The sequence below is a fragment of the Homo sapiens genome, chromosome 10, assembly GCF_000001405.40.
Source record: "Homo sapiens chromosome 10, GRCh38.p14 Primary Assembly".
Classification (NCBI taxonomy): Eukaryota; Metazoa; Chordata; class Mammalia; order Primates; family Hominidae; genus Homo; species Homo sapiens.
In genome coordinates this window covers 120,891,789-120,908,117 of record NC_000010.11, presented here as the reverse complement: position 1 = coordinate 120,908,117, position 16,329 = coordinate 120,891,789, and the positions used below count along the sequence as shown (strand labels likewise).

At 38.5% G+C, this 16,329-nt stretch overlaps 1 protein-coding gene and 1 long non-coding RNA gene across 8 annotated transcripts in view; one reads left to right on the top strand and one right to left on the bottom strand.

Annotated features, from left to right (window-relative positions):
• The window catches only part of LOC105378519 (uncharacterized), a 79,804-nt gene extending 73,536 nt beyond the window's left edge, over positions 1-6,268 (top strand). For both annotated transcript variants that reach the window (XR_001747609.2, XR_946372.3), the window contains exon 3: positions 5,776-6,268. This is a non-coding gene — a long non-coding RNA (uncharacterized LOC105378519). The remainder of the gene's footprint in view (positions 1-5,775) is intronic.
• The window catches only part of WDR11 (WD repeat domain 11), a 58,163-nt gene that overhangs the window by 1,407 nt on the left and 40,427 nt on the right, over positions 1-16,329 (bottom strand). For 4 of the 6 annotated variants that reach the window (XM_005269963.3, NM_018117.12, XM_047425458.1 and 1 more), the window contains 9 exons: positions 7,981-8,089; positions 7,020-7,082; positions 5,796-5,861; positions 4,886-5,063; positions 3,976-4,071; positions 3,307-3,472; positions 2,702-2,799; positions 2,097-2,242; positions 1,263-1,342 (listed from right to left, as the gene is read on the bottom strand). In XM_005269963.3, the coding sequence (XP_005270020.1) occupies positions 1,263-1,342; positions 2,097-2,242; positions 2,702-2,799; positions 3,307-3,472; positions 3,976-4,071; positions 4,886-5,063; positions 5,796-5,861; positions 7,020-7,082; positions 7,981-8,089 (1,002 nt within the window). Of the gene's footprint in view, positions 1-1,262; positions 1,343-2,096; positions 2,243-2,701; positions 2,800-3,306; positions 3,473-3,975; positions 4,072-4,885; positions 5,064-5,795; positions 5,862-7,019; positions 7,083-7,980; positions 8,090-16,329 lie in introns of those variants that run through there. The other 2 variants (XR_428707.4, XR_007061973.1) reach the window with 2 other exon arrangements.

The window sequence follows — 16,329 nt, the reverse complement described above, 5'->3', positions numbered from 1 at the left end:
CCCTGTCCTATTGGTTTTTTTTTATTTATTTTTATTTTTTTAAACAGCCTATTGGGTACTCTGTGCTGATGCTTTGATCCTCAAAATGCATACACTGAACCAGTCACCTTCCCAGTGACTAGGTACATGATCTTGAGTAGGCTCAGCCTTCAGTTTAATTTTAAAAAACTTTCAGTGCAGGGCTGGGTGGCTCATGCCTGTAATCTCAGCACTTTGGGAGGCCAAGGTGAGAGGACTGCTTGAACTAGGAGTTCAAGACCAGCCTGGGCAACATAGTGAGACCCGGGTTACTACCAAAAAAAAAAAAAAGCCAGGCACAATGGTGTGGACCTATGGTCCCAGCTACTGGGGAGGATGAGGTGGGAGGACTGCTTGAGCCCAGGAAGTCAAGGCTGTAGTGAGCCATGATCGTGCCACTCACTCCAGTCTGGGCAGAAGAGTGAGACCTTACCTCAAAAAAAGGAAAAAAAAAATTTTTAGTTTAGTTTTAATTCTCTGTTAAAAAAAAAAAAAAATTATAAACACACACAGAGAAAGAGGGAGAAAGAGAGAGAGAACCAAGTACCTGCCATGTAGAAATGAGAGCAAATGTAAGAATTTGAAGCAAAGTGCAGTGAGCAGCAGCAGGACCATGCAAGCACTGGCCCAGTTTCATTCTTTTCTGGTCCTGGGAGTTGCATTCTCAAGTTCATTCTTTTCAAAGAAACCAATGTTGCTCAAGTGCCATTTAGAAGAAATAAAATGTTCTGGCTGATGGGTGGATTATAGTGGCTGGCCTGAGCAACACCTCTCTTTAAGTGCTGTATTTTGTCCCATATCATATTGTCACTAGAGGTGATCGTGAGACTTTTTTAGTTATTCCAGTATATTTTTTCTAGATAAATATATAAAATTTATTCCATGGAATGTCTGGTCTTGAAAAAGTACTATTTCAAAGTACCAGGTCCTTCTACCTGTTTCCCAAATCATTCCTTCATCTTCTTTTTAAGTTCAGACAAGACTTGGGGGCCCTGTCCTCTATAGTCCTTCCTGCCTCCCTCCATCCTAGTCAAAGCTGACACCCATGGTGCAGCCACCTTCTTATCTGATTCTTTGTCCTCTAATTTCTCCCTCTTTCCTGGCTTTGGTGAATCAGAAAATCAGAACATGGATCTTTCACAATATAATATAGTTCCTGTCCAGGCAGCACAACTAAGGGAAATTCCAAAACCCATGCATGTCACTTTCTTCCTCGTCACTACAAACAACCTTGCAAAGGATATCTGTGTCCTCAGTGACTTCAAATGCTCCATACTTGAGGCAAGCTTCCACAAATAAGGCTGCTCTATCAAAGTATCTCATGCTGCTCAACAGAACAAAACAAGAGTTATGCTTTGTGATTTACATCACTGGTGGGCAGCAGCATCGAAGGGTATAAAGACATTTACACATTTTCCCTGGAAACCTGCATACTGCATTAAGATACAAGCACTTTTCTAAGCCCTAGTTTGTTGAAAAAAGGAGGGAAGAATACTCACATCTCCAAACACAAGCTTTTTAAAATTAATACTTTAAAAAATTGTGAAATAGTTTAAATACACAAAAATCTACAGAGATATGACAAGTGCCCATGTACCCCTGTCCAGAGTTGACAAGTAATCTTTTGTCATATTTCCGTAATCTACCTCCCTTAGTTTTGAATAAATGAAATGCTCCACAATTAGTGATGGTTGTTCCTCTTCCAGATTTTCAGACGGGATGTCTCCACCTCACCATGCCTTCTGTCGCCTCTCCCCCTGCTCTCTGGGCCTCCTCTCAGTTGCTCTAGTCAAAGCTGAATGGACCCCAATTCTCTGAAGACTTTTAAATTCCCTTTTACTAGGTGCCTGTTAAGTCTGATCAGCATATTAGTAGGAAACTAGCATAGCTCCTAGACCGAATGAAGATGTAATGAATACGGACAGTTCCATTCTCCTTTGGGTTTTTTGACAAACCTGAAATGTATACTTCTCCTTTCACTTTACACATCGAGTACCATGACCTGCTAGAACCGCGAGAGAACATGAAGTGACTGCTCACGGGCAGGCCTGAGCAGCCCATGTGAACTCTCGGTTTACCTGTGAAGCGTCTCTGCCACGCTAAAAAAGCAGCCCAGAGAGAGGAGAACCAGGAGAGCCTTTGATTTCTGATTGACTTGTGGAGAACAAAGGTGGTCAACCCACCGCCTTAAAACATCGGCACACTCCTCAGGATTCAAACGGACCTGAGAAAGACGCCTGTGTTAACAACAAAAACATCCTGCACTCTATAAAGAAAAAATAATAATTCAGTTAAAGTGAGATCTGTTTCTATGAAATACAGGCTATGCTCTGCTTGACTAGCACACTGCCCTGAAGCTGCTGCATACTCTGAATAATGATAACGGTCTGTGCCTACGGGACCCAGGGCCTGGCTATACCTCTGGACTGTAGTTTCGGCTCAGACTCTGGGAGAAAGAGGAGGCAGCTGCTTTTACTTAATTGCTACCAATGCAAGATCCATTTTTAAATAAGTAATGCAATTTACACTCATAAAGAATAGGAAAAGGATAAAGGTTCCAAGACAGTATTTGCAAAGCAGCTTTGCAGGCCAAAAAATGTTTCTAAGTCATAAGTCCAAAGTTCAGGACTGAGCTTTCTATCCCGAATGTTGAGGGCACCTATTGAAACTTGGAACCACCTACTTTTGCCAGCCATGCAGCCCGATTCCACTCGCCGTATGTCTGCAGGTAGCGGCAGGCGTCTGCAGCCTTATCTATCAGGCAGAGCAACTGAACGCCCTCTGAAAGACAAAAGCGCATCCCCTTAAGTGACACTGCAGCTCCTTCTTTGAGAAGTCATTAAAAAGTTAAATCCCCATTTGACCTTATCTAGTCGTGCCCATTTTATACCTACTGAAGACATTCTTGATTTAAATTCTGAAACATAATATTAAGAGTTTTACTGTTATTACTCAAGTAACCAGGGTAGGAAGCACAATACAGTCTGGAGAATAAGTAGGGAGAGCATAGTTCTCTCACAGGTTTTATTGTTCTGATTTGCCTAGGATTGTTGGATTTATGCCTATTATCTCAGCAATTATTAACAGTGCCCCCTTTCACTCTGAAAAGTGTAAACAATTAATTCTGGTTTAGACAATTATATTCATCTGATTTATAGGTAGCAATAATTTTTCTATTTTTCTTCAGCATATGTAAAAGAGAAAGAAATGTCCCTACTAATCAGATACTTTGCTGGGAACAAGGTCTCATTTTTCAGAGAGATGACAAACATATCAAGTGTGCCTTACCTGCCAATTTGCCATTGGCAATCATATTCGTTGCCACCAACTTAATGGTGCTCTGAGAGGGGCCTGACGAGGTGACAGTAGTGACTAAACAGGCTTTCAGTGAATCACAGTAATAATGCTGGTTATCTGCACTTGTTTCCAACAGCAACTGCACAGCTCTGTCTGTCTAGTAAGAGAAACGGTTTTTCTAATTATGAGAACATTTTCCTCCAACATAACTTTTTAAAATTCATAAGGTAGAAAACTAAAGGAAAACACTCATTTTCAAAAAATGCAATTGAATATTTTGTTTACAAATACAAACATTAAACAGAGGTGCTACACTACTTTTTTGAGACAAACATAAAGCCAGAGGCTGGTGTATCTAGGTGCTCGAGTAATTGCCTATTTTAGCTTTGTACCAGTCAATTCAGACACAAAAACAAAACAAAACAAATAGCTGGGCTCCACTGGGCATTATGGAAGTCTAAATTACAAGCTGGTTAACCATATGTTTTTTCTCATGAGGTTTATTGGTATTATTTTGAAAGAAAGCCTAAACTGTCTACAGGGAAGGAGGTACATACAAGGGGAAAATATTATGAAATATATACATACAGATATATTGCTCTGAAATACGAATTAACTAGCAATTTAATGAAGCATGTAGAGTTATAAAAACTGACATACTTGACCCAAGAGCAGTAGCTGGTCTGTACATTTCCTTGTATGATCATAAGTTGACCGTTTCACTTCCTGCAGATTAACCCTTTCTAGCTGAAATTTCTAGAATTGGAAAAAAAAGAAAAATTAAGCCTGGATTATAAGAGTTTGGAATTATTTAAATTTTACTGTACTTAATAAGATCATTTTAATAAACTACTTTGACTTTTCAGGTTACTAGATAATCAACTTTACAGCACCCCAAACATTTAATAAGAATTTGAACAGCAAAAATGTTGATAGATATTATCACTTGGATGCATACCTGCCTGCCTACAGAAACTGACACTTAAGTAGAGCCGGATGAAAAACCTATGTGCACTGAAGGATTCTGCAGGAGGTTAAAGAAATTATCATGTGAACAGCAAATTCAAACCAAGTGTATAAAGTATTTGTTATTTATAGGAAATTAATGACAGAATTAAAATGAAGCCAAGTTAAAAATGTAAGACAAATTAAACAAGCCTGTTTAATAATAAAATTTTAATGTTTAGTAAACAACGCAGTAACTGTCTATGAGCTTTTCAAATCTTGATCAGGCTTTTTTTTTAATGCAAATGTACCGAGGGCTTCTTTCTTTTCTTTCTTTTTTTTTTTTTGGAGACAGAGTCTTGCTCTGTTGCCCAGGCTGGAATGCAGTGGCGTGATCTCAGCTCACTGCAACCTCCGCCTCCTGGGTTCAAGTGATTCTCCTCCCTCAGCCTCCTGAGTAGCTGGGACTACAGGCACGTGCCACCACACCCAGCTAATTTTCAAGGGCTTATTTCTATTACTGAACAGTAACTTAGTTTGAAAGTTTCCCAAGTTTAAGATATTGACAAAGATATAAGTAATCAAGATGACAGCTCTAAAGGTTTTGCTGTGTGAAGCAGACTACCTGAAAGTAGGCATTTTCACAGAGCACGTCATAGCATATATCCAGTGGGTTGCTCAGTTTGTCTCGAGGAGCAGCTTCTTTAGGAGCTGTTGTGCTGGCTGACTTTTCCTGGGATAAGCTGTGCAGGTAGTGGGCAGCGACAGTCCAGAAGTGCAGCTCCGATTCATCACCATAGAGCCTGGCAAGGATGAAGCAAAGTTTTGACTGCACTCAGCACACCTGGCCTGGATGGCTTCCTAGAGTAGACTGAGGGACTGGAAGGGAGTGTTGTCACATATCCACTGGGATACTGGCATGGGGCCTGACAGGGTGAAAGGGGGAGGCAGCAAGTTCTCCTGCCCTGCTACTGGGCCTTCAACAATACGGGGGCCTGACTGCACAGGACCCCTTCAGACTCCAGCATCTTTCTGTTCTGTGTTAAGAACAATTATTTACCTGGTTTGCCATTAGCACACCTTTCAATGTGGGCCATTGATTCACATTAGGAAGAAGTTCCTCTGGGATAACTGGCTAGATAAGGTATGAAAGTAATGTGCTATTTATTCTGTGGGGAGAGGAGTCTTTTTTATAAGTGACAAACTCTACTGTAAGTCAGGATATAGAGGTTATCGCTTCTAAATATAATTTATTGGTATATTTAAATATACCTGTATCTGATATTTTAAAACACATATTTTAAAAAGCTGTAGGAGGAAGTGCTTTCCAGAGAGAAGGCCTAGATCTCACATTTAAAATGCAATTTGATTTTTCCCTATTTGTTATTACTACTGTCAAAATTATTTTAAGTTAAATCTAAAGGATGAACTGATACATTTTTCTAAAATCTAAGTGTTTCTAACTAAAAACCCTTAAAAGAAATGAGTTAACTTGAAATCCTGTCTCTTATACAGAATACATCAAACAATATTACCTTGAAACAAGCAGGCACCTCTGCAAGAGAGTGAATTCTGGATCAAGCAACAGTTTCTTTATGTCACTGTGGAAGAAATCCGGACAAAAGTGAGACAAAAGTTTTCAATCAAACAATAAAGCATGGGGGTTGATCAATATACTCTTGAAATGAAAAATTCCAGTCAAATAACATGTTTAGAATTTACACAAGACAAGGTACTTTACCATGACCCTGAAATTATAAAAGTTGAAGGGGGCTGAGAGTGTTCTCAAGGCTTGGAGAAGCAGCAGCTTTCAGCCACCACAGGGAGCTGCAGCGCTCTCATTTCTGGTTTATAGGCTTACAACAGTTTTTGAAAGTATTAGCTGCCTAACTACTGGAACAAGAATGCCATTGTTGAAAAAATCATCAAGAACAGTAAATACTTTAAAGAAGATGACATTCGTAATTTATTCTGAAACTATTCCAAAAATAAAGTATCTAAGGAAGAATGGCTTGTGCTTTTATAAGTTCGTATTTCTAAAATAGTAAAATACTGAATATTCACAAATCAGAAAGGAAGACATTCTTTAAATCTATAGTTTCCCATTTAAACATAAATGTTAATCTTTGCATAGAAAAAACTAATTATTTTGAATTTTCCGTCAATAAAATATCATGCTTAATTTGTTAAATACTATAATTATATGTAACAGATTCTAGATTGCAAAAATGTGTTACGCTTTCCCCAAGAACTCCTTGTAGACCCATATTTTTTCCTTTCTTATTCCCAGTACATTCTGTTAAATGCCCTTGGCTCTAGGGAGCACATTAATTTCTTAGCCAGACCTGTGCACACCAGCACCTGACACAGAGAACTCATTTTAGAAGCGGGAAGCAGACCCAGAATCACCCTGCGATTCGTCTCCCGCTGTGAGGCTTCATGGAGGTTTGTAGTAGAGGCAAGCTGAGCTACAAGGATGCTCCCACTATGCATCTAGTCCTGCCTTGATGTGAGATCAGAGCAGCTGGTGCTCATGAACTTGGTGAAGACAGATGCTCTGTCACTGTAACTACTGAATAAGTACTTTTTCTGCAAAACACAGACTCTAACGGGAAGCAAACCTCTAAACAGAATGGTCTCTTCTTGGGCCACTAATATTTTCTAAAACGTAACTTATTTTAATTTTGAATTGCATTTAAAGTTGAATTGCATTTTTCTTTCTCATATTCCTATCTTCTAATGAAACATGGAGTGCTTACTTAGACAATGAATTCAACTGTTCTTGGAGGAGATTCTTTATTTCTTCATTTTCTGGATAGTCACTGTAAAGAAAAAATTTTGAATGAGTTCATTATCTCTTCACTTAAAACCACGTATTTCTTCACCTGAAAAAAGTTGTGTTAATATAGAGATAACCTTCTTCGTAGTTCTTGGTTAGAAACCTGGTTATAGACCAAAATAACAACAATCTACTCAGGACCCCACCAATCAACTTTAATATCTGCTTTTATCTTATTGAGTCAAAAACAAGAAAATGAGTAAAGAAAGTCTCCTTGGCTTTCAAGAAACCAGGAAATTTATAAGCAGGCTTTAAAATCTATCAGGTTTAGATTCCTTTTAATGAAGAACTTAACAATGTTACTAAAGGAATCTGCTCATTTAGAGCTCTGCAGAATGAATATTCTGAGGAGACAGTGCTTGGAGAACAGACACTTCCTGGCATTATTTTTAAATCCTCCATCCGTGCTGCACATGGCAGGAGTTCAGTAATATTTGTGAATTTAATTAATAAACACTAATAGTTTCTGTGAATATTTTTTTGCAATGAGGCAAATATTGAGATTTTTAAGACACAGTATATCCCTGAAGCTAATGATGCTGCTTTTAAAAAGAACGTGCCCGGCTCCAAATTCTCCTGCCTTCCATTGCCCTCTTCACACGCATCCTTTTCATCATCACGACACATCCATGTTCAGACCATAAGACAAGCACACAGCCACCTGAGAGCAATACACGCCCTCACAGCTCCTCACTGACCCACACTTCCACAAAGGCCCGAGAACCCAGAGGCAGCCTGGCAATTCTGTAGTGTCTCTGCCTTCTCTCGGCTTTAAAGGCTCCATTCCCTTTAAATGCTGGAGTACAGGCCATGGCTGACTTTCATGGGTGTCTTTCAACCCCAAGTAAATTATGAAAGAAAAAGAAAAGTGAAAAACTTACACATGAGAAATGTCCAAAGAATACTGTCCATTCCAAGGCTGGTGTAATAAGAAGGCTTTCAAGGCAAGAGAGGCCCTTGGAACAAGGAGATAGGGGCACCACACAGGCTCTAGACAACAAAGAAAGGTTTTTAAAAATAAAATGAAGTTTTATACTACAGTGAAGCTTCAGCTATAAACCATTTACAGAGCAGTCAGCAGAGAGCAACAGGTAAATCTGGAACAACTGAGAGTATATTCAATGTAGTCACCGCTTAGGAAACACAAGCCAAGAGCAGAGAGAGTCTCTGCATTCAAATCTGATTAACATATTTTTCTTTTCCCCCTTTTTTGATTTTTTATTTTATTTTTTTTTTGAGACAAAGCCTCGCTCTGTCACCTAGGCTGGAGTGCGGTGGTGCGATCTCGGCTCACAGCAACCTCCGCCTCCCGGGTTCAAGCGATTCTCCTGCCTCAGCCTCCGAAGTAACTGGGATTACAAGCACCTGCCACCATGCCTGGCTAATTTTTGCATTTTTAGTAGAGATGGGGTTTCACCATGTTGGCCAGACTGGTCTCAAACTCCTGACCTCAGGTGATCTGCCCACCTTGGCCTCCCAAAGTCCTGGGATTATAGGCATGAGCTACCACACCCGGCCTTCTTTTCCCCTTTAAAATTTAAGTATCCTGTGTGGTATACAACTCTGGTACTACTTGAATAAAGGATTCAATGCAATGATTCAACAAATAGCAACAAAGTTCATTATTTTTAAATATTAAAAATAAATATATTTACCTGTATGTACTTTTGTTTTTCCGAGACTATTCAACTAACATGGCCTATCAACCTTGAGTATGTCACTGAAGGGATCATGCCACCTGTGATCACTAGCATTCCCAGGTCTCACTTATAAAGGTAGCTGTTGAACACAGGGGCTATCTTCTTAGACTCTAGGCCCTAGCATCCCCCACATCCAGCAGCTGGCTTACTTAGAACACTAACAAGCAAGATTTGCCTAGTTGTCAACATGTTTCAGTGCAAAGAAGCAGAAGACCTAAAGGCTGCAATGCCCAGCAGCTCTGCTCTGACCACCCTACACTCTATCGGACTCGACCTTAGCTCCAAATTTCTAGGGGTGCCCTGGCTTTTACAACTTGGCCTTACTACCAACTCCCCTCCAGAATCCTGAAGAGGCTTTATCCATGGATCCCTTGAATAGACACAATTATGTAAAATGACACAAACTTATACATGGTGTTGGCTTATTTAAGTGACTGTATTTGTCTGTTTTCATGCTGCTGTAAAGAACTACCTGAGACAGGGTAATTTATAAAGAGAAGAGGTTTAATTGACTCAACAGTTCCGTATGGCTGGGGAGGCAAACTTACAATCATGGCAGAAGGTGAAGGGGAAGCAAGGCACATCTTACATGGCAGCAGGAGAGAGCCAGCGAGGGGGCAAGTGCCACACTTTTAAGCCATCAGATCTCCTAAGAACTCACTTACTATCGTGAGAACAGTAAGGGGGAAATCTGCCCCCATGATCCAATCACCCCCTACCAGCTGCCTCCCCTGACCTGTGGAGATTACAATTTGACATGAGATTTGGGTGGAGACACAGAGCCAAATCGTATCAGTGATCCACATCAACTCTGGACTGTGCAATTATCCAGTATGATATCCAATATGATAGTCACTTAACATATGGCTAGTATAATGAAGGAAATGAATGTTTGTCTAATTTAAACTTAAAAAGTGATTATTGATTCAGTCATTGGATAACTTTTAAATATGTTTGAAACAACTTGAATACATGCCTACTTTTTCAACTGAAAATTTTATAAAATCTAAATAGAGCTTAACTGTTTGTGCTGAAAATTTGTCCTATAAATTTTGAGGGCAATTCATTTTACAATAAATGTAAAATACTGACAGAATTTTGAAGAATGAATAATTTTAAAAAAGTAAAATGTCTCACTAGTAACTTTTAATACTGATTATATGTTGAAATAAAACTTTGGATATATTGGCTTAAATAAAATTTTAATTAAAATCAATTTCATCTCTTTTTACTTTTTAAAATGTGGATACTAGAATTTAAGCTTACCTATGTGGCTCACATTATGTTTCTATTGGAAAACTCTGCTTTAGAAAACTTTATTCTATGTAGTTAAATAAAAATTAAATTATACACAAAATATTTTATGTGGATTTTTCAATTTAAAAGCCAGAAAGTGATTGGAAATATTTTTAATAATACTTTTTTTTTACACCCAAGAATTTTAATATTGATTCAGTAAAATCACTTAAAATGCAGTCCAAATTCAAAAGTCCCTTGTTATTCCCCAAATGTCCTGGCAGCTGTATTATTTTTAAAAATCGGGTCCAGTCAAGGCTGGTACACTGCATTGTCATGTCTCTTTAGTCTATTCCAATCTAGAATGGTCCTCTTCCTTTTTGGTTTTGGCCTTATGTGACCTTTTCATTTTTGAAGAGTCCTGGTCAGCTGCTGTGGAGAATGCCCTACGTTCTAACTTGTCTGTTTTCTGATTATCAGATTCGGGTTAAACATTTTTGACAGAGTCTGAACAAAGGATGCTGTGTACTTTTCACTGCATTGCATCAGAAGGAACATGTTAGCTGTCTGGTTACAGGAAACACTAAATCTGATCATCTAGATAAGGGGTATTCACCAGAGCTCTTATCAGGGCACCTTCTCCACTGTATAATTAATTAGTAAGTAATATGTGGAGGAAATATTGTCAGATTGAATTTCCTATTCTCAAACATCCTTTTACTCAGTGATTTGACATCCACAAGTGATCCTTGCTTGTGTATACAATTAATTATTGTATCGGGGCTGCAAAGTGGTGATTTTCTAATCTTATTCTTTCCGCATTTGTCAGCTGGCATTCTTCTGTCCACCTGAGCTTTTGCTTCTTGCCCACTTCCCGTTTCCTTACTGTGACTATTACTATGGAGTGAGGGTTTCTTTGGTATTCTGCACTTACATCAATACCACCATTAGTTTTCGTGATGCTCAGACTACCCCCAGTTTGACAGGAGAAGCCTCTTATGTCAGGTCCTCCTTGGTTTTTCAATTCCTTACTTGAATTCTGGCACCACAAGATGCCCCAGACCCATCTTGCACCTTTTGTGCCTCTGTCCTGAAATAAACTTTTTGTCCAAAGAGCTCTGGCTCCTTTTAGCCTGGAAATGGAACTTGCAAAGTAAAATCTGGGTGCTATGTGCGCTCACTGCCATTGAGTGTCATTGCAAGAAAACTCTCTGTGAGCAGAGCCAGGGAACATACATGTTCAAGAAGTCATGATTTTTTACCAACCCAAATCCACCCCTGGAATGTTTCTTCCCACCACCGCCATTTCCCATCCATATCTCCCTTTCTATCAGCACAGATCTTGGCTCCCCAAAACTGCAATTTGGTTACTAATGTGTTCCAGACTACAACATGCACAAAACAGCTTCAGAATTACTAGTGTCACCATCAACTACCCCGGTAAAGTTCAACATTCCTTAGCAATTCTGTCCTTAGAATATAAACCACTAAAGGTGTGCAGTGAATGGGAAGTTCTGTGTTTTAGTTATTTGAACTGTTTTTGTGTGTGTGTGTGGTTATGTTACCAATATTGTTGTTACACAGTTTGGTTCAACTGTGTCTTGCATTCAATTTTAGGGTTTGCTTTTTCTTCACTCTTGTTTTCACTGTGTATTTTTAATATATAAAATATATAAATGGTTCAAAACTTGAAACTGTATAACAAAGATAGAGAAGTTTCACTGCTATCCCCATACTCTCCATTTTTCCATCTACATCTTCTAACTATTCTCATTGGTTTCTGGATTATTCTGTGTATGTGTGGTGTGTGTTTTAGTAAGCAAACGTGTGCATGAACCTATGTATAAAATCCGCCTTTGTACACAAGCAGGCTATACGTGCTCTTTTACACTTGCATTTTTCACTTACACATATCCTGGATATCACTCTACATCAGGTCACAGAGCTATTCCTCACTATTTTACAGCTGCATAGATTACTCCATTCTGCAGATGTCCCCAGATTTATTCAACCAATCTCCTACGGCTAAGCAGTTCGGCTTTTTTCAAAATTTTGCTATGAATAACTTTGTGTGCATTTTGGTCACAGGGTATGAATGTACATCTTAAGATAAATTCTTAGCGCTGGGATTGCTGGGTAAAAAGGTAAATGTGCATGTAGCTCTGTTAGATATTGCCAAATTCCTTCCTATAGGGATCTTACTGTTAGCAATGGATGAGAGTGCTTGTTTCCTCATAGCCTTGCCAACAGAGTATATTTTCAAGCTTTTGAATCTGATAGGTAAGAAACAATTTTAATTTGTATTTTTCTCTTTTTAAAAATTTACTTTTTAAAATTATTTTCTTCTTTTATCCTTACCAGTAGGAGGTCAAATATTTTTCTTATTATAAATAAAGTTGAGTATCATTTCATATGTTGAAGCATCATTTGTTTATCTGTTTTGCCCCTCTGTAGACAGTCTGTGACTTGTGAATTACTTTCCTCCAGGTAATCATTTGTATTTGGCTTTGCTTATTGAACACTTTCGTTTATTCTTATTAAAGATTTTCTTTTGCTTTGAATTTTTTTTTTTAATTTCCACTTAGTCATCTTTTCTTTTACATCTGGGCTATAAAGGAAGGATTGCATCTTGGAAAAATGAGGCTTATCTAACTACCTACAGAAGCACTGAACACTTAACACTGAAAGGGATGCAGGTGGCTAGCTTACTTAACTTTCTTTCTATTCATCCTTCATAGACGACAATCTATATAATTCTCAAGTCAGCCCCATTCATATTTTAGATAGCATATGTATATGTTTTAGGTAGATTCATGTAGATAGTTGTTGGTATTATATCACAGTATGTTTGGAAATGGTAAATGTCAGGGAAAAAAATTAACTATACATAATAATCTTGGAATGGTTCAGGGAAAGTTCTCATGCTGTGTGGTAATTTCTTAATCAATGAACAAACGAAAAGATACAAGAGAATCCACGTAGAAGGCAGCATCGAGTGTTTACATCATGCAAGCAAGACAACATTTACCAAGTCTGAATAAAAGGAGGGAAATACCTTATTTTTTAAAACAAATATGTTATTTCTCCAAAAGCAAAATATTGTTGACAGCATCCCAATGAGCATGAACAAACTGAAAGTGACCCTTAACTACTTCCCTCCCTCAAATGAATTGAAATCTTTCTTCTGAAAGGTAAAGATCAGCCATGAAAAAGTAATAGGAGATCATCTCACATCTGGAGAAACTCACATGCAAGAGCTCATTCACCTCTGAAAATTACACAATTAGAATGCAAAAGCAGTTAGCATCATTGCTGTTTGTCACGGATTCTGCTCCATCTGGGCTAAAGTTATGTGAGGTATGAATCATAACACCCAGGTTTTTAGCTACCTACATGACAGGAATGCAGAAAATCAGTAAGCAAAGAGCCAAGAAGAAAATCAGTAGAAAAAAGTTATTCCTCCACCACTTGGAAATGGCAACATTAAGGTGAGCTGGAAGTCTGGGAAGGAAAGGACCATATTTTGTGATTTTGTTCAGTGTGATTCAATGAACGGTGAAAAAGAGAGCTAAGGAACACTACTGGCGTTTGGGGCAGGACAATTCTTCATTGCGCCAGATCGTTCCAGGTTGTTTAGCATCCCCAGACCTCCCCACATCGGCAAGTCATTGTGAGACATTTCTGAATGCCCCAAGATTACCGAAAATGACTGTGGAAAGCTGTGGCAGATGAAGAGGAAAGGTTTGTGCAGAAATCTGATTTCAGAAAGCTTCTTTCTATATATGCTTACTTAGGAAAAATGTGCTTAGCAGTGGCCTTTAACACTGGGGAGGGGAAAACTGGCTAGCCATATGTAGAAAGCTGAAACTGGATCCCTTCCTTACACCTTATACAAAAATTCATTCAAGATGGATTAAAGACTTACATGTTAGACCTAAAACCATAAAAACCCTAGAAGAAAACCTAGGCAATACCATTCAGGACATAGGCATGGGCAAGGACTTCATGTCTAAAACACCAAAAGCAATGGCAACAAAAGCCAAAATTGACAAATGGGATCTAATTAAACTAAAGAGCTTCTGCACAGCAAAAGAAACTACCATCAGAGTGAACAGGCAACCTACAGAATGGGAGAAAAATTTTGCAACCTACTCATCTGACGAAGGGCTAATATCCAGAATCTACAATGAACTCAAACAAATTTACAAGAAAAAAACAAACAACCCCATCAAAAAGTGGGCGAAGGATATGAACAGACACTTCTCAAAAGAAGACATTTATGCAGCCAAAAAACACATGAAAAAATGCTCATCATCACTGGCCATCAGAGAAATGCAACTCAAAACCACAGTGAGATACCATCTCACACCAGTTAGAATGGCAATCATTAAAAAGTCAGGAAACAACAGGTGCTGGAGAGGATGTGGAGAAATAGGAACACTTTTACACTGTTGGTGGGACTGTAAACTAGTTCAACCATTGTGGAAGTCAGTGTGGCGATTCCTCAGGGATCTAGAACTAGAAATACCATTTGACCCAGCCATCCCATTACTGGGTATATACCCAAAGGATTATAAATCATGCTACTATAAAGACACATGCACATGTATGTTTATTACGGCACTATTCACAATAGCAAAGACTTGGAACCAACCTAAATGTCCAACAATCATAGACTGGATTAAGAAAATGTGGCACATATACACCATGGAATACTATGCAGCCATAAAGAATGATGAGTTCATGTCATTTGTAGGGACATGGATGAAGCTGGAAATCATCATTCTCAGCAAACTATCAAAAGGACAAAAAACCAAACACCGCATGTTCTCACTCACAGATGGGAATTGAACAATGAGAACACATGGACACAGGAAGGGGAACATCACACACCTGGGACTGTTGTGGGGTGGAGGGAGGGGGGAGGGATAGCATTAGGAGATATACCTAATGCTAAATGATGAGTTAATGGGTGCAGCACACCAACATGGCACATGTATACATATGTAACAAACCTGCACGTTGTGCACATGTACCCTAAAACTTAAAGTATAATAATAATAAAATTAAAAAAAAAAAACACTGGGGAGGAAATTAGGTTGAACAGTCCCTGATATCAAGTCAATACTATTTAAAGGGTGTGGAAACTGCATGATACCAGAATGCTATTAAACAGTCTCATATTCTTGCATTCCTTTTAGATGCTGCTAAAAAGACTATTAAGATTTATTTTGATGGCTCTTTGTGTCCCTGACATATTAGGCAGCCGATAAGAAAGGTTCTCCAACTCAAAAACAGGAATTCTAATCTTCTAATTTGTCTGACTGCCCCCTCTTTATTGGAGGAAGAAGTGGCCTATCTAAGCTGCTCTAAGAAAATGTACAGATGTGAATCAATATTTTACGTTCTCTACTTGTTTTCAAGGAGAATTGAAGAAAACATAGGAAACACCAATGTTAGGACCTATTTTATTTTTATCCCATGTCAGTAAGCCCCAAATATACTTCTAATTCCTCAGAATAGAAATATACTACCTCAAACTTTTTTTCCTCAAGACCAAATCGGCCATGAATCTGGAGGTGAACACACAGATGTCTTTTTCCTCACTCCACATTTACACTACCATAGTTTTCATTCTTTAACATTTATTAAGGGTTGTTCTGAATTTGAAGTTCAATTTGTGGAATGAATACACAATTGCATGACCTTTCCCAATTGCTATTTAGTTTTCTCTTTCTGGCTGAGGCTGTAACATTAGAGATTGAAAAGAATATAAAAAAAAATCAGAAAAATTTTAAAAGAAACATGTGATCTAAAATCTGGCCACAGGCCAGATGTTCAAGTATGGTATTGAACATGGGTTAATACAATGGACTCCATTTCTGTAGTCAGTTTAATTTAAGAACAAGCTACACCTTGACTTTGGAGCTTTTTAGATTCAAATTTTATATTAAAAGTGAAGGAAAAGCTCTTCAAACATTTAGATAGCAGTTCCACACTTCTTTATCTAGAATTAGTAACCAATTTTTTCAAAAACCACCCTTGAAGTTCCTTCAATGTCCTCAATACCTTTAGGTTTAAAATGAATACCAATGCTTGCCCTTTCCTAGGAGGCCATCCTGGTGCTTCCCCAGAGCTGGCAAACGACACAAGGACAGACATGGGAATGTAGGTCTTGAATTCTGGCTTCACCTGATGGCAGTCAGTTACATAGTAAGAAGTGGTGGTGCCCAAATGCAGTGGGCAGGGGTGGGCAGTGACAAAAACCAAAGCATACCTAACTAAGTTAAAGGC